The 27,537-nt window shown below is 41.8% G+C and overlaps 1 protein-coding gene across 11 annotated transcripts in view, besides 1 other annotated feature; it reads left to right on the forward strand.

Annotated features, from left to right (window-relative positions):
* Positions 1–27,537, forward strand: part of PBX1 (PBX homeobox 1) — a 326,864-nt gene that overhangs the window by 144,429 nt on the left and 154,898 nt on the right. The gene's annotated exons all lie outside the window — the stretch shown is intronic.
* Positions 13,523–13,632: a silencer, noted in NCBI's record as "silent region_1496". NCBI's record gives its function as "represses an Ori minimal core promoter by ATAC-STARR-seq in GM12878 lymphoblastoid cells {active_cell/tissue: GM12878}" and the evidence as "EXISTENCE:reporter gene assay evidence [ECO:0000049][PMID:35858748]".

Here is a 27,537-nt window from a genome sequence, read left to right on the forward strand (position 1 = left end):
GTGACAGCTTGGGTGTCTGCCCCTGCTGGTCATAGCTACCGCTTCCGTCACTGGCTGTTAATCAGAATATGAGAAACTCTGGCCATTTCTACTGGCTGGACTCCGTGTGCTGCCTGAATCCAGGTGCATGCAGAGATGTTCTCAGATCTAAGAGAGGTCAGGAAGGGAAAGGGATGATTCCTCCTCCTACCTTTTCCTAAGTCCCTTCTCCACACATCCAATTGCACCCATGAGAACCGAACCACCATGTTGAATGGGGTCTGGCATTCAGAGCAACTTCCCTACAAATCTCTTTTTATTGGCATTTCCTCCAATTTAACCAGCCCTGAATTGCATTTGAATCAGATGAGAGAAAGAGAGGGAAGGAGAAGGGAGGAGGTCCCTCCCTCTCTTGGAAAAGCAGCTCACAACCAGCTTTATTTGGTAAAATGCTGCAATAGATGCTTGTCAGAAATAATTTATTCCTGTTAGCTGTAATCTGAAGGAAAACAGATACAAGTCCTATAGTTAAAAAAAAAGTAAAGTAGTCTTGCTTTCGCTGACAGTACAAAGGTGTCATATACAAGAAGGATTGACACAGACCAAGGGGTCTTGTGGGAAATATGATAATAACTATAAAGAAGACAGATTATTCCCCAGTTGCCAACATTCAAACCTTTTTACAGTCAGTTCAAACATATAAAACTTTATTGCTCTAGCAGAAAGGGGAACAATTTCTGGTTGCACAGCTTTCCCAGGGCTGGGTTTATACTGTCTGTGTTATTGCTCTATAGTGGCATTTTAAAGTTTATTGAACAAGACTTTTACAATTGAAGGAAGTATATAAAACTGTAAATTTATTAGATTTTTCAGGATAAGTGCCCTTTGTAGTTGTGCTCAAGAATTCGGAGCTATGAGAAACTGCTAGTTACAAGACTTATTAATATTAAAGACTGAGAGTACGCACATTTTATACCTTAACTGATCTCAAAAATAATATTATTATATTACTGAATGTCAGAGCTCTGATACTATAGAATTGGATGGATACACACACATAGGACTCTATGTACCAGATGTGTTTATTTTTCACTGGCTAAAAAGTTAGCTTTCGTTATATCTTACTTTATTTGCTTTTAACACAGTTGGTCAGGGTATTCCTCTGTTCATTGAAGGATGTCTCAGGTAGATGTTTTTTCCTAAAATCCTTGCTGATTTTCCAGCATTTCTCAGTGTGTGGGTATAATGCAAGTACAAGTGTTAGGTTTTAAGAGCATATTTTATGGTGAAGTAATATATTGTTGCATTCACAAAAGCAACTATAACTTTGATAATCAAAATACTACCAAAAGGAGTTCTTGTTTTCCCCAACTTCTCATTTTTCATTTCTTAAAGGTTTTGAGGGAAATCATTTGAGAAATTTTGTAACATTTGTGATAATCTATAAAAAGGTTTCTCAACCTCAGCACTATTGACTTTTTGAGGCCAGATGATCCTTCATTATGGGGGCTGCCCTGTGTACCGTAAGCTGTTTAGCTGCATTCCTGGCTTCCACCCATAGATGCCAGCAGCATCCCCACTCCCCCATTGTGAGAACCAAAAATGTCTCCAGACATTGCCAGATGTCTCCTGGGAGGCAAAATTATACCCAGTTGAGAACCATTCATCTATACAGTATTATAATATGTCTGGGGAAAATACATTTTACTGTAAATAAATAATATAGGTTGTGTTTGGTAATTAAAAAATATATTGTTACTAAACAAGATGAATTACAGGATTATTTACTTGCAGAAATATCTGACTGTTGACTGCTTTTAAATAAGGTGTTTCCCCCAAAGAATGTAACATAGCTCAATCTTTAAAATTTTTCATATAAATTTTGGGGATCATATCACTATGTGGAAGGAGATGCCTTGCTTGCTTACTTAAGCCTCAGGACATGTGTTTATGGATATAATCACTTATGAAACCAGACCTCATATTCTTTTTATATTATGTTATGATTAGCCACTGATATGTGTTTGCCTTTTTGATTTTTCACATGCATATGCAGAAACATGTATATGTATATATTATGTGACTAACACAGTGAAGGATATGAAAAGTATGAAGACAATTTTGATTATAATTTTCTCATTTGACAAGTTCAATTTTGAGGTACCATCAACTTGCCTTTAATTTTCAATTTGTATTCTAGAATTCCTTAACCTCTTCAGAAGGTTTTCATGGTAGATACATTTAAAACATTCAAATAAGTTGTTTATAGCACCTGTTCACCTTCATGCTGCCTGATGTTATTCAAGTACCTATGTGTGAATGGCACTTTGATCTGGAATTCTGTGTTAATTTGTCTAGTGGCCATAGCATTTACAGAAATAAGCTAAAATGTTTTCAAAAGGACTTAAATTGTAATTGGCCTTTTGGTTTTTGATTGCTGAGTTTTGGAATTCTATGGTTGATATAAAAAAAATCTAGACACTTGTGACTTACTAAGGAGTATCTTGAAAATGTCTCAATTCTGTTATTCAGTGGAACTACCATTCTCTTTTGCCCCTATGACCTCTGATGGCTGAGCGGTGTTAGCCATATACTGTGTGTCTTTTCACCTCTTCTTGCCATCTCTGTGGGTCACTGGGCTCCTCTGGAAACTTCTGTAGGCAGGGCAGAGGTTTCCTTTTGTGTTTCCTTTTAGACCATGCCTTAAGAAGTATGGTGTGACTTCCTTTATTCACTAAATGTCTTTCTGATAAGCTGTGCATGAATTATATGATTGGAAAGCAAATCATATTAGAATCCACTAGTGGAGTCTGGCTAGGATATCCATTGTAATCCTCCTAGTAAGTCATAAGATCTATTCACAATCACCCCTTTAGTTATGCACGGTTTCCTTAAATCATAATATATCTTGTTAGAGTTTTTAAACTACTAATGTCCATTCTAGTATGGTGATATGTATGATAGCTGTGTCCTGCCTGGATTCATGCAGTCACATATATATGATATACCTTTTTTTGAACATATGACAATATGCATAGCCCCTATTTGGTGAACTGTCTTCTCTACAAATTATAGCCTTGGTGCTTTACAAGGTTAAATAACACAGTCTCTAATTTAAGTAACAGTGAGAACCAGGAAGATTTAAACAGTCTGAGTCAGGCACACATAACCCTACCCTCAAAAGCACTCATAGCTAAGTGGGGGAATCTTGCTGAAGTCTTGTTAACTTCCTGGGTTTCAAAGTCCCACTTCCAGGTACCATGGATGAGGCAGCAGGCATGCAATTACAGAAAAATAAACCTTTAGTCAAACAAAAGAAGCCACTGAAAGAACTGAAAACCCCTTCCTAGTCCCAGCTAAATTCCCAGGGAAGATTTAGGACCTGTGTTTGTCCTGAGTTAGTGGATGGTCTTGGCCAGTTTGCCATCTGTAGTGGTGAGTTGAAAGGGACTGTGGGCTCTGGAGGCTGAAAGGGAGTGAGCAGGAACAACATGAAACAGCAAATGTCAGGGAAGTCAGTAAGCCCTGAATCTTTTATGAGACCTTGGATATTCTGATCACAGCTCCGCTGGCATCGAGATTGGAATACAGATTATGGGAGGGAGCGTCTGTGACATGAAGCCCTGGCTTAAATCTTCCCAAGGTTTTAACGTGCCTTACCATATGAATATTTTGTTATTTTATTTGGCAGTATTTCCACAGGAGGCCAGGAAGGAGAGCACTGAGTAAGCCAGGGGTAGGGCAAATCTAGAGATGGGAGAGATTAGAACAGTATTGTGGCTAATGAGACTAACACCACTGAGGTGTGTGTGTGTGTGTGTGTGTGTGAGAGAGAGAGAGAGAGAGAGAGAGAGAGAGAGAGAGAAAGTGCTGAATCCCCTGTAATCCTGTCTCATACAAGGCCCTGGTGCTAAAACCACTGTAACTGTTTATGAATTCACTCCAGCTACATAGTGAGAGGAAGGAAAGAGAATAAGAAGAACCCAATGCTGGAATGAATTTATGCTTAAGAGCTTGTCTCGGGAATGCAGCTGGGTTTAAGAGTCGCCAAGCCAAGACACCCTTTTTGGGAAAAGGGAAAAGAAAAGGAAAGGAAGATAAAAACCCAGGAGACTGGAGGGACAGTGGGAGGAAGAGGAAAGAAAACGTGCTGCTCCCAGATGGGGAAGCCTTGTCTGAGTGAAATGGCATTATAGGTTGTCTGGGTGTTAGCCCCTTAAAGTGGTTTAATTTCCCACTAAATAGAGATCACTGTGAGGACTAAGAACCAAGCAAATGCTTTCGATTGCGCTATCTTGATTAGAAGCCCTGCATTAAGGCAAGAGCATTGGCAGAGCCCGAGAGAGCTGAGGCACCCTGAGGCATGCAGCAAGGTCCATGGCAGGCTAGACTTCAAGTGGCTTTGCCGGAGCATGACTTACAGCAGATTTGATGGCCTGGATTTTGCTTTTCCACACCTGTCCCCATCTGGTAGGCCATGCTGTCTCGTAGCCAACCTGCAAGTCAGTTAGGTGAGGCCGAGTGACCTCAGCCTGATGCAGGCCACAGAAGCAGAGCGAGGCAGAGTGACTAAGTGACTGCTGGAATCCTAGTAAAGCAGGGATAGGAACCAGAGTTCCTGGACTGCACGCAGCCTTTTCTTTGGTAAGAGAGGTTGACTACTGTAGTAGCTGTGTAAGGGGCAGATAGAGATGAGTGAGAGATGGTCATTCCTAAGTAAGAAATATTTATCAGATGACTGTTATGTGTCAGGAGCTGGGCTAAGTGCTTTACACATATATAGTCTTTTTTTAAAAAAAATATTTTCTTTTCTTTTAATTTAGTTTCAGGGGGGTACATATGCAGGTTTGTTAACATAGGCATATTATATAATGCTGGGGTTTGGGCTTCTATTGAATCCCTCACCCAAATAATGAACACAGCACTCAAGAGAGTGTTTTTCAGCCCTTGCCCTTTCCCTCCCTCCTCCTTTTTGGAAACCCCAGTATCTATTGTTGCCATCTTTACGTTCATGTATACCCATTGTTTAGCTCCCACTTGTAAGTGTGAATGTGCAGTATTTGATTTTTTGTTTCTGCGTTAAATCACTTAGGATAATGGCCTCCGGCTGCATCCATCAACATATACAATCTTTACAACAAATATATGGCACAGGTACTGTGATTATATTATACCCATTTTAGGGATAAGGAAACTGAGGCTAAAGAAGTAACCAAGACAAAGTTAGAAAATGCCAAGTTTGAATCTAGGCTATCTCCAAAATACTTGGCCTTGAACACCCATTTGAGCAGGTTTGCACTGAATCTGTTTCTTCATTTTAAGCACTACTTATTGAGTGCTGACTGTATGCCAGGTACCATGGTAGGTGCTGGGGATACTGACTAGAGGAAGACAGTGTCCTAGTCCTTGAGGTGTACACACAGCCGCGGAGACACCCCAGCAAATCAGCGATGGCAGTGGTGCCATAGATACTCTGAGAAGTAGTCACGGTACTCATGGGGCCTGCTACTTCATAATGTCAGTGACGTGGCAGACACAGGAAGGCTGCAGCACACCTAACTTTGTTGGTCACTTTTGTCTATCTGCTACTCTCAAGGCTCCATTTGTCTCTGTTGTGTAACTCTGAGCAAGCTAGTCTTCTTTCTAAGAAAGTGGAAGCTGATCAGCAGAAGGTGGCCATGGACAAAATGGGAAGCAGGACCGCTGGAGAAATAGGCCCAGTTGCTTATTTCAGGAAATCCTCTAGTCTTGTTCACTCGAAATTGTGCAAGGACAAAGCTGGGTCCATTGAAACAGAAAGCATAAGAAAACAAAAATAGAAAAAGGGGGAAAAACACTTTAAGTTGAATAAACAACTGCTGAGCCAACTCATGAGTTCAGCGGGGGATTCTCATGTTTCCAGGATATTTTCAGATTCTGATGGCAACTCGGGAAAGACCACTGTAACCTTGAACTTTGTCAGAGGACCGAGTTTAAGACCACCAAGACATTTCACGCAGACCACCCACTGCAATTTCTTGCATAGGTCTGCTGGCCAGTCTCTTATTAATACTGCAAGGCAACCTAAACTATATTTTGTTGGGAAAGTGGAAGAGCGAAGGCAGGTGTTGAAAAGCCATGAAAAAAAGAATTAAAACAAAAATGTGCCTCAGGCTCCTTTCAGCTGGCAGCAGAATTTCCGTCATCTTTCCCTTTTGAATTTGATATTATTGCAGGAACATTACCACGGACTCAATTTTCACTTGACAGTGAAATACCAGAAGTCGTCTCGGGTCCGGAGTGCTGTCTGCATCCAGTCCCTGTTAATCTGCAGAAGGAAAGCATGGAGATGGGGTGGGTGGCCAAGCTGACACAGGCCTCTTCAGGCTGCTGGGAAAGGGTGCTCCCTGGGTGTGAGGCCCAGGAGTCCCTAGAATTGCATAGATGCAGCAGTGAGCAGCCCACCTGGGTGTGAATCATAGACTTGTTTTGAGAATTAAATGAGCAAATTTATGTAGAATGCTTAGGTCAGTGTCTGACACATACACCAGTGTTCAGTGAGTATTACCTATTGTGACTGTTTCTTCGTGGGCAAAGCAACATCATCCTTTCTCTGCAGAATTTGAAACTGATGTCAAAAGAAGAGGGAGGCAGCAGCATCACACATCAGAGGGAATTTCTTTTAGATTCATATACCGTTTTTCCATTTTCTCTTTTCAGTTTTTTTCTTTCTTATAAGAAAGACTCCAGATGTTGAATTTAAACTGGGGGATGTCTTCAATGCCATTGAATATATTGAGCGTGTAGGCAGGCAGTGGAAGGTGCTGGTTTTTTTCTTTTTTTTCCTTTTTGTTTTTTGAGATGGAGTTTTGTTCTTGTTGCCCAGGCTGGAGTGCAATGGCGTCATCTCGGCTCACTGCAACCTCCACCTCCTGGGTTCAAGCGATTCTCCTGCCTTAGCCTCCCAAGCAGCTGGGAATACTGGCATGCACCACCACACCTGGCTAATTTTGTATTTTTAGTAGAGACGGGGTTTCTCCATGTTGGTCAGGCTGGTCTCAAACTCCCGAACTCAGGTGATCTGCCCGCCTTGGCCCCCCAAAGTGCTGGGATTATAGGTGTGAACCACCACGCCTGGCGGTGCTGGCTTTCTTTGGTAAAACGGAGAAAAGCCTTGAGGGTTTAAGGAGGAGAGAGGGGAGTAAAATAGAGAAGAGGATCAGGAAAAGAAGAACAAGTTGAGGATATTTAATTATTTGAAATATTGTGAAACATGAATATTGATGAGAAGGATGAACAGGGATGACTAAGTGCAAGGCAGGGCGTGATGGCTTACCTTCCTCCAAGTCCCACCTGCTGTTGTTGACCCCATCTGGCCAGCCAGGCGTGAACCTTAGTCTAGCAACAATAGGGGCAACACAGAGTGCATCTGCTGCTCAATGCAGGGAGAGATGCACTCTTCATCTTGTACCTTCTTGCTGTCAACCCTTTCTCTTTTTTTCTTCTGCTCATTTCTTACCACTCTGTTTATGGTAACATTTGAGGGGGGAAAATACATCACCCTATGAAAGAACAGGGTGGCTGCTGACTTTGTACCAACAGCAGTGAACCAGGGCCTAGTTGTCAGCAACCAAGACCTCTGCTGACCCAGAAGCAGACAGGTGACCCTTTCACCAAAACTTCAATCATCAGTCTTCTCTTTTCTTTTTTTGAAACAGAGTCTTGCTCTGTCGCCCATGCTGGAGTGCAGTGGCGCGATCTCGGCTCACTGCAAGCTCTGCCTTCCAAGTTCACGCCATTCTCCTGCCTCAGCCTCCCGAGTAGCTGGGACTACAGGCGCCCGCCACCATGCCCGGCTAATTTTTTGTATTTTTCATAGAGACATGGTTTCACCATGTTAGCCATGATGGTCTCGATCTCCTGACCTCGTGATCCACATGCCTTGGCCTCCCAAAGTGCTGGGATTACAGGCGTGAGCCACTGCGCCCGGCTAGTTTTCTCTTTTTGTCGTGTCTACCTTCCTACTTGCCTCACACCAGTCAGTTGGCTTTCTGTGTCAAGCCTGAGGAATGAATCTCATGAAAGAGCATTGGGAGAGCGGAGATTTTGGAAATTGCTTTCAGAACACAAAATCCCACATGCGTGGGCTTGTTCCCTGCAAGCTTAATCTTGCCTGATGTATATGTGTACATGTGGAAGGCTGAAGGAAGTGCTATAAATGCCCCATTCGTAAGTATTCAGCCATCGTGTGCTGAAAGCCTGCCGTCTGCCGGACACTGAAATGTGGCCTTCACAGGCCGAGGGTCTTTAAGAAGCATGGCCGTGGGGGCTGAGAGCAGGGTGGGGTGACAGGACAGGTTACTGAGACTGAATTTTGTCTGAAGAGTAGGGAGAGCTGTAGTGGTTCCCCTTTGCTGGTTGTTGGTTTTTGTGTGCCCCCCCACCTCAAACCCCCCCACCGTAAGAGAATCAGAAGGGTCCCATCTGCCTTGCAGGGAAGGGTCATGGTTGGTGACTGGTAACATCTGGGGGAGGGGCCACTTCATTATGCCACCCAGAATATCAAAGCAGCTTAGGCGTTGGAACCCAGGGAAGGAAGAAGAGATTAAAAAAAAAAAAAAAAAGCCCCACTGCCAGTCGGGCAGCTCTCTGTCTGCTGTCTGCAGGCTGCTGCTACCCACTCGTTACAATTAAAATGAAGTGTCCGTCAGCGGCTATCTTCTCTGTGTGGCCCATATGTTTCTGAGCTGATACTGTCCGGATTATTCTGTTCGGGAAAACGATAACGGCTGTTTATAACCTTGGCAAAGACTGAGGCCTAATCAGGCTGGAGCACATTTTCACCGACTGGCTGATAACAGGCTGTTAGCAGCCTTATCGCTCGGGAGAGATAGGCCAAAATAAGCAGATCTGTGAGCACAGGAGCCCAATCGAGTGGTACACACTCTGGCCCTGGCTTTATTTTTAGATTTTCCTTTCCCGGTTGATATCGGAAGGCACAGAGGCAGGAGGTGGGGTGGATAGTAATGTGTGCCCCCTTGGGGGTCAGAGTGAGGTGGAGGGGGATGTTAATCACCATGAGAGGCAGAGGGTCAGCCCAGCTTCCAGTGCTCCGGGCTCCCTTCAAATGAGGGAAAACACGTGCAGGTCTTAGGAGACAAAGGAAGGGAAGTGACTGTTTCCTGGCCTGGTGTGTGGGCCCGTTGCCTGTTCCGTTCAGCGTCTCCGTGCAGTTGGACTTTCCACCTAGGCAGGCAGGCATAGGTGTGCGGTTCTGAAAGACTGGTCTCTTTCCACATTCTCTCCTGCTCTAGGGACTGACTTTTGCTTTCTGTCTAAATCCATTTTGCCTGGACGACGACTTCATGGCATCCCTCCAGAATGACTTGCCCTGCCCAACTCATCATCCTTACACATGCCTAGAGGCCAGATGATGGGTTAGGCTACGGGGAAAGGAGCACAGGCAAGTCTTGAGTGTGGAGATCCTTACAGTCTCCTTACATTGATTGAGGCTCAAGGAGGATGTCAGCAGAGGTCCCACCAAGTCATTCGTTAATGACTGACACTAAACCCCTGGGGAGGAGTTGTAAGTTTTCAGAGAAGTTTCTGCCTCTTGGTAAAACCTTCAAGGAAAGGCCCTTTGAACTTTTCTCTATGTAGTGATAGAGAAAAGCCAAACCTGTAACTAGCCTTTGCTTCTAGATGTAATTCTCTAAAATCTTGACCTCCAACATGGCTCTCCAACAGCTATGATAAAAGGTATGTGTAGGAGGTCAGGAACATGTGATTAAAATAAAAACAGGTAAGTTTCCAATGGTGATAGATAGACAGCAAGTGTCATAAAAAGAAGGGGAAGATTGAAGATATTGTTTGCATTAAAAAGTGGAGTCTTGTATTTTCTCCACATTCTGCATAAACCTTCCTATCTTAAAGTACATTAGGGTTTTTACTCTCTATTCTGTCTCTCTCCACCCCTCTTCTCCCCCTTCCTTCCATCCTCTCCTTGCTTTCTGTACAGCTGCCTGATTCGTGGGTCACTTTGTCTTCCTAAGACTGAAAGAATCAGGTGGTGGGAAAGAGGGGAAAGGAACCCGTGCATGGGGGAGGGGAGGCATTTTCAGGGGCACACAGATTGAAGTAGGCACAGAAGGCAGCAGAAAGCATTATTACCATTATCATGCTAATCTATTTACAAGGCCCTTTTATTCATTAATCTTTGAATAGCAGAACTGTTCATACAGCCTGAAATAAGAACCACCTGTGCCTCTAGGACCAAAAAATAAAAGTATTAAGGACAAATGATATGTCGAAGCAGGAAGGGAAAAATTAAATATAAACAAAAGGATTCAAAGCCATTTCTTCTGTCATTTAGATCGTCACATATATGATTTCACAGCTCACGTGTTGCAAAATGGCCAGCTGACTGGCAATTTAGGAGACATCATCCAAGTTCAGAGAACAGCTCTGGGGAGGGTTCCAAATGTTGTGAAATTATTAAACAGTTTGTTTTTAAAGATCCAAACTAAGGTTTTTCTACACTAATTCCTATTATTCTTTTTTGGAAGTAAGCACTGATAAGCCAAATATAAATGATTTTGGTTAATGCTCTAGATTCCCTGATTAACTCAATAAAGAAATCTTTTATATTGTCTTCACAGAATTCATAGTAATATAGAAAGCCAAAGCCGGTAGGGATCTTACATGTATGATCTAGTTCAAGCCTCTCATTGTCTATTAAACCTTTAATTAAGAGTTCTTTACATGTAGGCTAAGCCCCCGTTTGTCACATCACACATAGGTGAGTTACATTATCGTTGGAACAGTTATTCTTACAGGGAGCAATGTAGTTCTTGCAAACACTTATTACCCTGTGTTATAGATACTTAGCAGGGGCTGAAGGGAGATGTAGGGAAAGGCTGCAGCCTTCCTTATATCATTATTTTAAGATAGGAGAGATACCAATTAGAAAGTCCACTGAAGAAGATATTTAGGCCTGAGCATCTTCTAAGAACAAATGCAATAATAGCCAGTGGAATGGAATAGCTTCCATATTCCTTTAGGTGGGACTTTAAATTCTCTCAATAACAATTCATATTAAACGTCATTCCCTTTGTCAAGAGACTGAGTTCTTTAGTTCTGACCACCAAACCTTACTGTTCACAAGTGTTAGAATTATGTCGTCCTAGAGCTGGAAGAACCCACTCTGAAGACTACCCACTCATTTTGTAAAGGGTATTAGAACCCAAGAAAGGGGATGGACTTGACCAGTGAGTCTGAACCAGGACTGGAGCTAGGATATTCTACCTTCTAGCTCAGTGCTTTTGCATCTTTTTGATGACTATTTTGTGATTTAGTTCTATGATGAAGCATTCAAAATAAATCCCTTAACTGTCCATGCCACTGTTTATTCATCTGTAAAATGAAGATTGTAATTTCCCCATTGATTTTTTTTTTTTTTAAGTTCCTCAAGAGCTGGGACTGTGCCATCCATCTCAGTATTTCCCAAGGCACCTAACTCATAAAGTGCTCTACACACAGAGCTGCTCAATAAATGTTCACTATTGAATAGTTGAATGAATGAATGAATATGACTTTTAATTGGGCTTTGCAAGTGATGACTCCTTCAGAATTAAATGATTTTTCTTCTAAGTTGTGTGCACATTCTCAGCCATTCATTTGTTAAATATCTTTCAGGAGAAACAGTGAAAAATGATGATGATGTCTTTGGTAGTATATGGAAGACCTTTCGGTACTGCAGAGGTCTGATTATAATCATGGAGTTTTGTTATTGTCATTTGTTTTCTTTGTAGTTGGTTGTTCATGAAGACCTGCGAAGGCCTAGTGATCTTGAGGGTCAGTTGATTTTGAGGTTCTCAGTAGCAGGAGTTGGTGTATTCTTAGCTGCCCAAGAACCCTCCCCAGCATATTGCTATGGCATTCTTGTCATTTGTCCTGAAGAAGGGAAGAGACAGGACCATGCTGGGGGACCTTATCTATCTAACTCCTGTTGTTGTCTAGTGCTTAGAATAATACCTGGATCATAATAGGTATTTGATAAATAGTTGTTAAATGGATAAGTAATTGCTGAAGGTCTACTTTTGCTTGACTAGCTCATGCCTTCAAAGTCTATAACTGGACTGGATGACTGTTCTCTTCTAAAATAGGATTTTGTGAATTATTTGAGTCTATTTCTCTGACTCAGAAGTCTAAGCCGGGATAAACTCTTCCTCTCATAGCATAAATTCTACCAGTTCCTTAAAAATCTGTATCTTTGGGTCTATAACTCGCACTGGCCAGGACCATTTGTATTCCACGCCTCCTCTCATGCCTACACTATGAGATGATGGCTTACAAAGGCCTATTGCCCACTTATACTTCTCAAAGCAGCCATTCAGAGAGGTCAGAATTTAAAGCAGAGATTATTTTAGTGGGGAGGTGGTGAGGAGGGTTAACAAAATTGCTGTTTTATTGGATCTAACTTGCTTTTCAGAAGCACGTGACTGGCATATTTGGGTCATTAAATATAAAGACATTCTGCTTATGAATTATGCCAGCAAGATGTTTTCAGATCATACAAAAACAATGTGTGTGGTGACTGCCAAGTAGTGTTTTTATGTGTATGTCTGTACACACCACCCACTGATCTATGCAAGGCAGTGGTGCTTTGCACTAAATGCCACATCGTTCCTTCTGGGATCTCAGAACCTTTCATAAACAGTCACTTAAGACTCTAGTGAGTTAAATAAATAATAAGATCCTTACCCCCTTGAAAAGAATATGTAGCCTACATATTGAAAAATTAGGCAATTTAGCCCAAGGCAGAATGAGCAGAGAAAGCATGACCTGGTGAGCCAGACCTAAGTGCCAGCAGCAAGAATTTTGATCTGTAAACATTCTGATGATGGCAGATGGCAGTGCGGCCTTGAGAGGGGCTTTCAGTCAATCTGCAACCTTTTATTCTGTACCTGATAAGTCTCTGGTACTGAGTTAGAAGCTGTGAAAGGCCAAGTGTGGTGGCTCACGCCTGTAATGCCAACACTTTGGGAGGCCAAAGCAGGAAGTTCGCTTGAGCCTAGTTTGAGACCAGCCTGGGCAACATGGGAAATGTCATCTCTACACACACACACACACACACACACACACACACACACACACACACAGAAATACACGAAGAGAAGAAAAAAAAAGAATCTATTAACGAAAAAATAAAAGCCAAAACATGCATAGTATCTTTCTTACAAGACCTAAAAATCATCCTTTCAATTTGTTGAGCACATCCTGGGTGCCAGACAGTTCAACATGGAACATAATTAAAACATTAAATACTGGAATACAGACAATATGCAGTTTCGGAGACAGAGAGCAGTTAAGTTTCAGGGTGTTTGTGGTGGGGAGTTGATAGTTAAGAGAAAGGAGTTGAGGCTATGAACTGAAAAATGGGCACGGTTGAAGTCAGCAGCAGGACATTATATTTGAGAAGAACCAAATACACGAACGCAGAATGGTCAGAAAGAGGACAGCATTTTTATAGCCATTTTCTCTGCATCTCAGTTTTTGTACGGGTAAAATAAAGGAAGTGATACTGGTTAGTAGTGTGTCACCACCGGAAGGATAGCTGAGGGTGACTAATATGTTCATAGCTGCCAGGATGAGAGGCTCAGTGTTTCACATGGCATTGGCATTAAGGTTCTTGGGTTTTATGAGGTCCTGTTTAAGAATATGACACTGGAGGTATTTCTTTGGAGACTTTTATTTGCCTGTGGTGTGTTGTGATCAGAACCACTCTTTGGGAAGAGAGAGGCTCTTCTTGGCCACAGGGTGGGTACAGATTAGCAAATGCAACCATATTGGGAAGGAACGCTTGGGTGTTCTGGTGGCCCTTCCCCTCCCAGACTGAGCTCTGTCTAGGATTATCAGGCAGGTGTTCAAATAAATAATGCAGCTAAAAATACTTCCAGCAGCAACTGGGACTTCTGTAGCTCTGAGATGGTCGGAGTATGCATTTCAGCTACTCGAGCAGGTGTGCAGTGGCTCCAGAAACTTAGAACAGACACACCCCTGACACATCCTCAACATGGACCAAGACCTCATTTCCAATGGAGAAATGAAACAAAGCATTTATTTCATCTAGTCTTACCTGGAAACAGGTGTGCCTTGGCTGAAGGCGTCAGAGGTAGAGCTCAAAAACAAGTTAATAGTCATTGTCTAGGGGAAGATGGTGGTTTCAGAGCAGTAAGTGGTATTAATATTACCTGCTCCCTGTCCAGGACTTGTTCTTCACTAAGAAGTAGTACCTAGCATAACTTCAGTGAGAAGATAATCTATAATAACATAATAATAACAACTGTTAATATACTAGCAATCTTTTATTAAGCATGTACTGTGTCAGACACCATATTTGTTGATTTAATTCTCAAAAAGAATATCAGGGCAAATGACATTATCCCCATTTGCGTAGATTCAAAACTGAGGTTCAAAGTAAGTAAGTATCTTGCCCAAGGGGACACATGCTTTAAGTCACAGAGTTGGAAGTCAGATCCAAGTCTGATTCCTAAACTGTGGATAAAGTTGTGTTTCCATTTGGACTTACCACGAATGTGGCATGTTTTACCTTCTTTTTTGACTCTAAATTTGCCATATACATTAATGTGTAATAAAAACTTGCATTGTTGGCATTGCAGCATATTCAAGGTAATTTTGGAGAATCTAGGTGTTTTGGGCAAAAGAATTCATCATACACAACCTCCACAAAGATAGCCATGCCTGGGGTGAAAATCTTCTGCCAATTAAAGCTTCCAGTTGTATCACATTTAGGAACTTTGAGGACATAACTCTGAGTGGTCAGGGTGGGGTGACCTTCACTAATGGGCGTTGTTCCCATAGGACTAACTCTGGTACATATAGGCTCATGAGGAATACCTGACAACCAGGGGTATTTAAGATTTGGGTGACAAATGGAGTGTTCAAAATGGTTCTGTGGAATCACTGTGCTTCTTGTTATCACATGAGTTTTCACCTGGCAATGACATAGAAGCACATGGGCAGCCAAACTCTGGATTGCCTAGGCTTTGAGGATGAGCCCAGCCCACCTCTACCGCTTCGTAAAATCAGAGCCAATGACAGAGGTTGCCTGACTGATGGTTGCCGGAGACTCAGAATGCTTTTGACTCTTTGACTTTGTGTGAATATGGTGGAGATATTGAAAGACTCTTATCATTGTGGCAGGAATTAGTTTTGAAAAAGAGGTCTGTTTCAGAATTTTAGATTTCAAAATGTAAAAATGTTGTGACTTGCAAGTAAGGCATAATTTTGGTCTCTTAAAACTGAAATTGTTTTCCTATTTTTCTAGTTTTCATAGTAAGTCCCTCTCCTCCAAGTTGAATCACACTCAGCTTTACTGAGTAAGGAGGGGCTCACCCTCAGGATCTGGCCAAATGACAACTTTTGGCTGATTAAAAAAAAAAGTGTTTCAGAATTCTACTCAGCCTTGCTCACAGGCAATGACCCCGTCAGATCTGATAAACTGAACAAGCTAGGGGCTACCAGGAGCTGCAAAAGAGACCTACACAGAAATGCCAGTCTGTGAGAGAGAACAAATGGTTAGGATGGTGTCCCAGGAGCAAGCAACTCAATGATGAGCCATTTTTCTATCACTCTCCTTCAGGTTTAAATCTGGGGTAGGGTTAGGAGAAATTCTTCTGTCTGTGTTTCATTCTGTTAGAGGTAGGGTTAGAAAGCTCATGGTCTGATGTGTAGAGTCAATTGTGGAATGTGAACCATGATTCTGAGTATAATGAAGTTCTATGACAAATATACAGCCAGAACCTGGACATCAGGAAGTGGTAGCCATTTTTACTTGTCCTGAGTAAAAGCTTTAGGCTATTAATTGGCTTTGTAAATATTGTCTCTACAGGAAATCAGGGAGTAGGTATATGGCATATTATAATTACCTGGGGGCCTTTTTAATATTTGTGCATGCTCTGAATCAGAATTTCTGGATACGGGGAGGCGCAGGCATTTGTAGTTTTGGAAAGCTCTCCAGGTGATGCTATGCCATGTCCCAGTGAATTGAGACCTGTTGTTTTAGATTACTGTTAGTAATGTTGTTTTTGTCTTATCCAATGAATATACCCACATTGGCACACTCTTTCTGTCATCGAATTTGGAGGTGTCTGGGCACTGGAAAGCACATGGGGGGTATGTGTGTGTCTAAAGTGTGCGTGTGTATACATGCATTCATTTGTTTTCTGAGGCACACGGTCTGCTGCTGGCCCTGTGACAGGTGATCAGAGCAATGTGGACATGGCAAGCCTGGGCAAACTCACTCTTCCCATTTCACCCTGCCTGCAAACAGAGTTAACATCCTCAAGGTAAAGCTCTGAAATCCCACGCTGACCTTTTCGTGAAGCATTATAATCAAGTTGAACATTTCCAGTTTTACCACAAATGCTTGCCCCGTGGGAAAATACTTCCCTACATTTTATGACAATTGATTCTGATTTTGAGGAACTAATTTGTATCGAATGCAAAATGTCCAGCCTCACATGGAAACTGGAAAGTCCCCTTGTCCAGACAGGTCCAAAACTGTGTTTTTATTGTAAAGACAGGGGAAACAATGAAAGATTGTGTTTTTTGTTTTAGAAAATCCTTCCTTCATTGTTCTGCATACTTCTGTATTTTATTTTTTTTAACAGTCCTGTGGGTTTAATGACCACAGGCAATTTTGTGGATATCTGGGGCTCATGGGAAACTTCACCATGTCTGGATTCTAAGCTCTTAGATGCCAGAGCCTACTGGATCTTTTACTGTATGTGAAGTCACCCGTACTGCCAAGGATCCTGAAGTGAACATGCTGACCCCTTTGAGAGATTCTTGGAAATATGACTGACATTTTCTACTGTGCAATGAAAGTCAGCATTTCCCTCCCCACATTATAGTTCTGGCCACAAAGGAAGCAATGCCCCTAGAACTCTCTGATGTATCTGAGAACCCTGGAGGCTTCTGACTTCATTTGGAAGAAGTCATGGAAACAAAAGCTGCTACTTCTCAGGCTAACATCTGCTGACATAAACAGAAGCCCCTCAAGGATACCTTCTGCCAGTGACCAAACCGGGGGCTCAAGTGAAGAAATATTATCATTAGACCTGCCTCCAGGTCTAGCTAATGTCTTATTCAGTATGAATAGCAGTGGCGTTTGGGCAGGGAGGTGATGAGATGCCTATTAAGGTAACAGAGGTGTCCAATGGAACATTGCTTGTTTAGCCTTATGACCTCTGTCCAAGGGAGGGCTTCCTCTGTACTGGAACTGTGGTTGACTTAGGGTTTCTGCGGTTTCCTTCCTGAGGTATATTTACAGTGACTGTGCCTTCATTGCAACAAATTTTAGGTTCATCCTCTTGAGCAGGGGGAAGGAGCCTCTCTCTTCAGAAGCATGTCAGGATATCTTTGGTAGGCATCATGTTCTGTTTACTTGAACCAGTGAGAAGATGGCCGAGCAAGCAAGGATAAGTGTACGTGTCTATAAAGGTTTCTTCTAATCCTGCGAGTCTGTAAGCATTCTAGGGTTCATCGGAAACTGTCTACTCCCATTTCTGGAATTTGCCTCTTGGCATCATCATGCAGGGGGCTTTTTCTAGTCATGCTTTGTGGTGGAAAGGTCAGCTGAGCACGGAGGAACAGGGGACTCACTGCTTTTCTCCCCTTTGGGCCCTTGAGCAGGCATTTGACTGCTGCATATGAACCTGGGAGCCATGGGGTCTTAAGGCTTTCTACTTGATTCTCAGTGTGGCCAGAATTCTGTTTAGGGCACTGCTCCAAATCTCGGTGACACTCCATCTGTAAAATTGGGTGGCAGTGTAGTGTGTGTGTGTGTGTGTGTGTATTTTCTTATACAGGACTGGAAGAGAATGGAGGAAGAAGGATAATGACTTAAAAGCGAAAACAATTGAATTCTTTGAGCTACAGTGCTGTGTCCTGAGAGTGCAGTTATTTTCCACTGCAGTAATGCTTTCAAAAACATTTATCTAGCTTCTCTCACTTTCTCATTTGCTGTCATTGGTGTGAAAAATCGAGTTACCAGAAGGTTCACCCATGTTCCACAGGTATGAATACTGAACGTTTTATTTAGTGTCTCATTAACAGCTGGCCTGTGGCTCCTCCTTCTCGGCTTGACTCTGCCCTGTCCAGGGAAATGGGGAATCACGCTTAAGGATTAGCAGGGTGCCTATTTTCACTTACAGTGCTTCATTCCTGTGTTCATGTTACCTATTCCCTTTACAAAATATGAATGAGTATCTTTTTGTGACAGGCTATATTCTAGGCACTGAGGATCCAACAGTGGACAGAACACACAAAGTTCTTACCTTCATGGAGCTTCCATTTTAGTGAAAGAAATAGAAAATAAATATGACATGATATAAAATGATACACTATCCTATATACTACTAACATCTTTTAAACCCAGTTTTATATCTTACCCCCTGACCGACTCTTTACAGGTCCTGGCTCCTGGGCAAATGGTGCCCTGTCTGTCTATGCCTGGCTGTCACTGATTATAGATATCTTCAGGGCCTAAGCTCATGCTCTGCAACCATTTTCTGTTACAGAATCTTCTTGCTGCTCATTGAAGCCTTAATCTCTTATGCTGCGATCAATGGGTGGGCACCTTTCCCATTTGGATCCTCATTTTTTAATCCCTGCTGCCTCCCTCAATGTCATCTGGTTCCATTTTTCTTTATAGACTTTCAGGTCTACTGTACCTGCTGATTACTTAGTGGAGAGTGCTGGACATCTCCCTTAATTAATTCCATCGATTTGAAATCCCACAAGGTTTGGGGTCTTTAGATTTCTGAAGCAGCTAAATGGAATGTCTAAATTCCAACCTTTTCCTTCTACAAATTGTTTTGCCACAAAGTTACTGGGAGAAAGTGCTGTGGTTTTATTTATTTGAAGAAGTATATTAATCCACAGAAGACTCTGCATGCCTAACTGGGCTTTTTGTATACAAAATGGAAGAAAAAAAGATGTTTGGATCTCTCTCCCTCTCCTCCTCTCTCTTCCCCTCCTCTTCCACTGACCATCAAGATTCTGTTCCTCATTCTTTTCTTTGTTTTGGTCATTTTTCTTCTTTGTCACTTACTTTCATGATGCTTATCCAACTAAGACCATGCCTTAGCAACCAGTGATTTCTTGAACCCTTTGAAGAAGGGTATGAACTTCACAAAGGGTGCAGAAGCACTGCTCAGGACTCCTTTTTGAAGAGCAACTGCCCAGGGTGATTTCCAAGAGGATTCTTCCAAACCTTATAGCCGTGATCTTGTTGAGTTATACATGTATGATTTTTTAGTACTCCCTGTTAACAGTAAGCATGGAATTTCTGGGGGAGAGTCATCAGATGTATCTTAGGGTCATATGGTTTGCAGAAATGGTGAACTTTCTATACAGAGGTTCAGAAATCAGCATGGAAAGGAGCTTTAGAGATTAGGAGCTCAATGCTCTCATTTTATAAATGCGAGGATGGTGTAAGGGAACTTGTACTGATTGAGCACCTATCATGTACCAGATTGTACATGTACCCAGATTGGGCATTATGCATCTGTCACCCCCAAATAGTGAAGTAATATACTGGACATATTGGACACTCCTACTAAAACCCAATCCCTTTCCTGGCACCAGACTACTGCTTCTTAAACCAAGAAGCCAAAGAGAGGGAAGAGAGGCACAGTGCAGAGGAGTTTCTTGGGCTAACTCTTTAGAGGCTTATGCTCCACTCTACCTGCTAAGCTGTCAGCAGTTGTGAACCCTTCCCAGAAGCTGGCAGTCTCGCAAACACTGGGAGGTGGCCAGACTGGATGTGCTTGGAGCATTGGCAGTCATCAAAGAATTAATGTTGGACGAGCAGGGGTGGCGGGCATATGAAAGGGGTTGCAGGGAGAGATAGATAGATGAATATACAAACCCTCAGTCATGCCATCTGACCATCTGAGGTTGTGTGCATGGTGGAAGGCCAAGAAACACATTCAGAGAAGGGGCGTGGACTTGTCTAAAAGGACGTTTTCCTTTCTGCCTGGGCCAGCCAGGCGGCAGAGCCCTGCACTGCCTGTGACTGAGGAAGACTCTGTTGCTATGCGCCGGAAGCTTAATTTTATTATTGCTCTCCCCTATTTAATGTCTGTCTCTCAGGCAGCTGGTGATGTTTTAATGAAGCTGGAATTGTATAGTCTGTAGCGCTGGATAATCATAAGCTGCCGAGTCAGAATCAAATTAATAATTCATGAAATTAAAGTGTATAATTAATTTGAACTGTGCAGATGAGAAGAAGGGCCAGAGCCCACAGCCTGGAAGGAGCTGAAGTGTGGGGAGTGTTTACTGAACTCAGCTTCTATTTCCAAATAATATAATCTGCATGCAGGTTAGGGGTAGTCTGTGGGTCTACCTGAACACGTATGCTTACCAGAAACAAGGTTCTTTCAACTAAAACCTGGAATGACTTTCTTAGAAGTTCAAAAGCATTTTAATTGATTTTGATTTACCCTTCCCTGGCCCCAAAAGAATGTTGTTTGAACAGAAAATGTGATACTGGGTTACAAGTCTTTGTTGCATGGAGGTCCTGCAGAACGTGCCATCAGAACCGTTGCTTCTGCAGTTCAAAAGGTCGTAAGTCAAATCCAAACATTCAGGAACTCTACTGAGCTTCCAGGCCCATGGATTTCTCACCCGTAAGTGCTCTTTCTCTTTCTCCCTCTCTCATATATGTATGTCATACAAACAGAAAATACAAATGACTTCTCTAGCCAGGCTTCCCTTGGCCACTCTTTTGGCTTCCCTGGGCCACAATGGAAGAAGATGAATTGTCTTGTGCCACATATAAAAATACACTAACACTAACAATAGCTGATGAGGTAAAAGAAAATCACAAAAAAATCTTATAATGGTTTAAGAAAGTTTGTAAGTTTGTGTTGGGCCACATTCAAAGCTGGTCTGGGCCGCATGTGGCTCATGGGCCACAGTTGGACAAGCTTGCGTCTAGACAGTGTTAATGATATGTTTCATGTCTAATATCTTATTTTTCTTCACAGATGCCCATTGCAATAGCTGCAGATTTTTTTTTTTTTTTTTTTTTTTTTTTTTTTTTTTTTTTAGTGCCCATTCTAGTAGCAACAAAATGAGGGGAAAGCAACTCAAGTGCCTCATTAAAATGGGGAATGGTCTGCAATTTCTAAACCACTCTTCCTTTCTTGTATTCCTCTTTCAGGCAAATATGCAGCATTCATCTTTGTTGCCTCTCCAGGTGTGAGAGGCAGTGTAACATCCAGGCTGTTTACATAACTTGCGGAGTGTTTTACAATGTACTCTGCAGACAATTGCTCGGATCCCTTTATTGTCTTTTTAAAGATGCCTATACAGGTGGGTCCTTTTTCGGTTTTTGAATGATGGATGCTGTGGTATCATAGGAAAAAGAGGAATCTCTGGGTTAGCTTTTCATTAGAAAATCCTTGTCATGTTTAAGCTCCTAAGCAGGCAGCTTGAACCCCCCACCCCCTTCCTGCATCCAGTAGACTTGCAGGGAATGAGAAGGCAAAACCAGCATCTGTGATTGTCCATTCTTCTTTGTCAGGCCTTTCAGAGTTCCTGTTCTAGAGGGACAAATGACTGGAGGCCATGATACAGACTAATGGTGCATAAGCCCCCAAAGGTTTGGATTGAATTGAGGCTCAGCTGACTTCACATTTTTAGGTCTTCAGTATGTTTATTTGTCCCTCACATAGCGGCTTGATCTGTCTGCCTGTGTGTTCACATAGTTAACCAGAAACGCTAGGAGGAAGTTGTACCAGTGGGATACCTCCTTAGGATTCAAGGGCCTCCCGTGTAACCATGTTCTGCACATCAGCTCTCTTTGCTCCTCTCTTGATCTGCGTGCTTCCCCTAACTTGCTTCTGCTTGCATGGCCTTATCTTCTCTAACGCCTTTCTGCTTCCGTACAAGTTTCAGCCACTGGTGGTTTGCCAAACTGGCTGATTACCCATAAACACACAACATGGTTCTGTTTTGCTCCTAGCAATCCTTAAACCATTGCATGTCTAACATTCTCAGACTAATTCACAAATCAGAAACATCTGATGCCCAACCCATACCAAATGCATTTCAGGGCAAAAATTATGCTCCTATAATGTCTGGCTTCCTGTCTTCAAGGCACTTTGCTTACATGACTGAATCCTCACTGTGAGGTGTAGCTATCCATCATTTTTGAGCAAGAAAGCCAAGATGGATAAATAAGTGACTTGCCCAAGACAACTAGAGTGGTTGGCACCATGATGGGATTGGTTGTCTTATTTTTCAGTTGGTACATGGAGTCTTCGATGACCCCAGGATTTGGAAATGAAATTTAACCACCTTAGAGCTTCTGGAATTTTCTTCTCTTGTGTTCAACTGAAAGTTTCTGACTGCCCTGGGTGAATTAGATGTTATCTTACTGGAAAAGTGTTATACTGCCTGGTTTCTTCTATAACCATTTTAACCTTAAAAGCTTAATCTGTTTTTAACAAAATTAAAAATAATTTGTAGCTATAGTGGAATGATCAGAGTTTGTGCCCAGTGTTTACCTGTGAGCATTTTCTTTTTGCATACAAACGTTTTGGTCAACCCACGGTTGCCTCCTCCAGGAACAGAATCTTTTGATTCAAATACATTGATTAAAATTTACAGAGACTATGGTCTTTCCCTGCCATGGGTTTAGTGTAGAGAAAATGGGACAGGATGAGGATGATGATTCCTAAGTCTACTTGTACATTACTTGAATAGCTAGACAATGACCCTGCTGGCCCAGTTATTTTAGCCATGCAAACAGTGATTAGCAAAGATTGCCACGTGATCTGTTTACTCAATCATGTGGCATTCAGCCATAAATATGGCTGGAACCAATGAATTAACCAAAACATCCTGGTCACATCTGGGATATAAATAGATTCATGCTAAAGCCACATCAGGGAATTTTATAAAATTGTAAGCATAGCCACTTACCACATTGAATTAGCACTACGCTTGACATCTATTGAGTATAAAATAGAGGTCTATGGAGTATAAAATGGTCTTTAGAAAGTCTTCTGGGAAGATAAGTATTTCCTATAACCTATAATGACAAAATAATGTTTTACTAGTAAAAGCAGCTCTGTACCTCACACTGTGAAACAATTTTACAGTTCTTCAAAAAAGAGTTCTTCAAGCACATCTAGGGGATCTAGAGGCCCGTCTGGAACATCGAGGTTCCAGAGGCACTTCTAGGCGAAATGGCATTGTCAGAATCCCTTCATGTGGAGGCAGAATTGGGGCTCAGCTTTTGTCTTAGTGCTGTTTTTACCCCCAAGAGATTCACTTATGCTTCCATAATGCAGGAAGAAACCTTCGCTTTGGTTTTCTGTGTTCCCTCAGCTACTATTTTTGATCACTTCATTTTGGTGAGATGCTTGAGCAGTGCAATATGGTGTTACGGTTTTGCTGGAGCTCAACACCAAGCTTTGTCTTTTATTAAGTTACACACCCCTAGGGATGAAGATGTTGACCCTTTAGCATCTCCTGAGTTATTGCATTCACCCCTTGGCATGCTCATAATGAACATGTAATGAAATTCAGTAATTAACTTACTTAATTTATGTATTCATTTAATGTGTGCCCTTAATATCTGCCTTATGATCTAAGAAAATCTCTACAATTCTGTTGTTTTTGATTGTAAGATTCTAGAAGACAGGGATTATGCCTAAGTAGTTCTATTTACCATTCACTGTGTCACATTAATAAAACTAAATCAGGTTATAATTCAGAGGAATGTAATTCTTATACAGGAGATTTTAACAGTTTGTAAGTACTAACATAGTTTAGAAAGTTCTGTAATTTGGAGCAGAGTGCTATAGTTCTTTGGGGTATGTCTTCTCTTTTGCCTCATCCACTTGCCAGGTAGCAGTGGCTTTTTATTCTTAAGTCTTAGAGATGCATTTAGAGTTACATACAGACATATGGTGGAAAGGGGTCTTGAGTTGATTTGGGGCAAAAGGCAACCGTCCCCATGCACTAGAGATGAATCATGCCTACCTCCCTTTGTCATGGGAAGTGGCGGCCACTGCCACATCTGCTATGAGGCTCTTCGCCATCGTTGGCTGCTGGAAATTTGGATACAGGTAAATGGTATATAAGGCTTCTTTTTGCTTGTGCACCAGAAGTCTTTGTCCCAGCCTCCAGATCAGCAGTCAGTACTCCCCTCTCCCAACCTGTAGGAAGTACTTGTGAAAAGTTATCTATCCCTGGTCTGAGTGGGAGGTTCTTAACCTCATTGATGTTTTAGTGTGACTTGTCTACATTTGTGTGCTCCCTTCGTCATCTGCAGAGGATATGAGAAAAGAAACAAATGAACAAAAAGTGGAGATAGCGCCTTCCTATTCATTCTTCATTTGGTATGGTTATAGTTAAGAGAGGTGAGCCAGGCTGGGCGTGGTGGCTCATGCCTGTAATCCTATCACTTTGGGAGGCCAGAGTGGGAGAATTGCTTGAGTCCAGGAGTTCAAGACCAGCCTGGGCCACATAGTAGACCCTGTCTTAATTAAAAAATTAGCCAGGCTTGGTGATATGTGCCTGTAGTTCCAGCTAGTCTGGAGGCTGAGGTGGAAGGATTGCTTGAGCCTGGGAGACCGAGGCTGCAATGAGCCATGATCGCGCCACTACACTCCAGCTTGGGTGACAAAGGAGATCTTGTCTTAACAAAAAAAAAAAAAGAGAGAGAGAGAGAGAGAAATAGATTGGTGAACCATTTTAGGCCTTGCTTCTTGGAGAAGTGAGCAAGAAGCCCACAAGTGTTGAAAAGGTTCTGCACAAATGTGCTCCCATTTCCTGTGCAAACCAATAATTTGCTTGTTTTCCAAAAGGATAGAAGTAATTCATAATTTTCAGAAATTATTTATTATCATTATAACATTTCCCCACAGGCAGCAGATAGCCCATTATTCAGAATTATAATGTATTTTGATTTAGACAAGGCCAGAATAATGAAATTGGAAGAAATGCAGAAAATATGGGCATTAATGTTAACTAAACATACTTCATTCAACAGAAGGAGGGAAGCTTTCTCAGCCAAAGAATTATTTTCCCAAAAATGCGTATATAAAAATTTTTTTATTCAGGGCCTCTGGTTTTTAACTTTATAACACCGGTTGAGTAATTTTTAACTGCAGGATGCATCTCTTTCCCGATATTCTCCCCACCCACCGCAACATATTTCAGTTTAAATGGCCTGTTATTTTTCTTCATAGAGCTGTGTCTCTGCATGGGTGAGAACTACAAAACCAGTCAGGAGGAATTTGATACGCCAAGTGGGCCAGCTCATTATAACTTCTAGGAAACCACAAGATAATTGTAGGGTTACTGCTGGTAGGCTCCTCAGCATTGTGTTAGGCGTTTATACTCTTCTCTGTTCAACTTGCAATAGCCACTTCTCTTTTCAGTACATTTTGTAGGACATCTGAATAAAGGTGGTTGACAAGCATTTTCAAGCAGAATTTTCAAGGCAGCATCCAGGAATACTTGGTAACTAACCTCAGAGGTTTAAAAAAGTAAAAAATAAAAATATGTGGTTGAATTCTTACAGTGAGTAGGAAATTAATCTTAGACTGCCTGCATCAAATTGAGCCTCTTTATTGATATGAAGTGAGTTTTCCCTAAATGATAACCTATTGAGAGATCTGCTCACTATGAAATGGACAGATTCTGCTTACTGAATTACCTTCTGCTATTTATCCTTGTGCTTCTTTTTTTCCTTCCTTTTTTTCCTTATCTTTATCATCCAAAAACATTTTGTAAGAATTTATTTATGCAAATTAACACAAACTTTTAATATGGATATCAAGATTTCAAAGATGTTGTGTAAATATGTATATATACATAATATAGACATATACATACATGTAACTAATAGGAAGCACTTATTTGGCATTTACTACAGGTATATGCTTTGTTCTATTCTCAACATGTTTCAGGCAGTTTATTTAACCTTTTGAAAGAAGTAGATATGGTAGGTATATTATTATCTCTCTTTTACAGTTAAGAAGAACCTGAGTCCTAGAGAGGTTAGGCAACTTGCTGAAGGTCACACAGCTTATAAGTGGCATATTTAATCAACCTAGGCAGGCAGTCTGACTCAAAAGTCTGTGCTTTTGATCAGTACACTGTACTGCTTCTCAGTATAAGTATAATAAGCAAAAGACAGATAATAAAAATCATTATAACAATAATTAATATAATAAGTAAATATTACTGAATATTTCCTCTGCATCAGGCACTGTGGCAAGCATTGTACATTCGTTGTCTCATTTAATCTTCCCAATAATTTGATGATGTTGATTCCATTTTATCCCACTTCAAATATTTAGAAACAGACTTAGTTTCTAAACCTGCCCCAGTGTTATATAGCTGGTAAACAGCAGAGCCATTTATTGTTGGGGTAAACCCTGGAGGGCTTCAGGATATCTGAAGGCCACCATAAATCACTGTGAGAGTAGCAGAAGGCAATGGAAGTTAGGGATGGCAGGTGGATCAGCTGGTTAGAGCATGGAGTTAGTGAATCCACTTCTTGTCAATTAGTTCTGCCCTATTCCAAGAATACAGCCATCAACAGTTAGTCCCAGAGTTGGTGGCATTGTTGGGGAAAGAGATTGCAATAGACTGGTGCAGATCAGTTACCTGAAGCTCCTGCCTTATCTGTGGCCTGGTGATGCTGCTGTGTGCCCAGAAGCCAGTCATATGGATGTCTTGACCTGTCCAGCACACACCTCAGTAGTAGGAGATATGGGTCTTTGGAATGCTTTATGTGTGATGAGGATGAAACAGTTAAGTGCTACTTTCTCATCCTCGGCCTTATGACATTAGTTAGTTGTGTAAGATTTTGCAGGGAGGTATTCCCTCCTCTACCCTTTCGTCACAAGCCCCTCTCATTCCTCTGAAAAGGTTCCATACTCCAGTCCCTACCCTCAAAGAAAGATTTTACTAAGCAAAAGTATCTATGGCTCTCTCTGTTCTCCTTGCTTTAGCTAGCACAGCTAAACTGGGATCTCACCAGTCTGACAGGGCAACCTCCAAGATTCACAACCCAGGAAAAGTACTGCTTTGCGTAAGTTTAATCAAGACCAGAGCAGAGACAGGACACAAAGTCAAAAGAACTCAGTCAGCTCTGTCCCCTTGGTGCTAAAGAAGCAACTAGAATAATTATTCTTTTACAGTATTTTGCCATATTTTTTGTCTTTTTAAGATTTGCCATCACCCATCTGTAGATGGTGGCATTTTGGGTAGTTTTTATTTTTATCACTATATTTTACTGCATGTTTACATTTTCTTTCATGTGCATGTGTTTTGTTGTTTAATGTGCAAAAACATAATGCATAGAGGGGTAGCATTCATCAGAATAAGGTCAGAAAAATGGAGGACTCCAGTGTTTTTTGCGATTGCTTTCCGTGTTTATGTGTGTGTGTGTGTATGGGCGCACGCGCATGCATGCATGTGCACACTTGTATCTGTGTTTCTGACATATGGGCAACAGGTCTA

Source organism: Homo sapiens, chromosome 1, assembly GCF_000001405.40.
Source record: "Homo sapiens chromosome 1, GRCh38.p14 Primary Assembly".
NCBI lineage: Eukaryota > Metazoa > Chordata > Mammalia > Primates > Hominidae > Homo > Homo sapiens.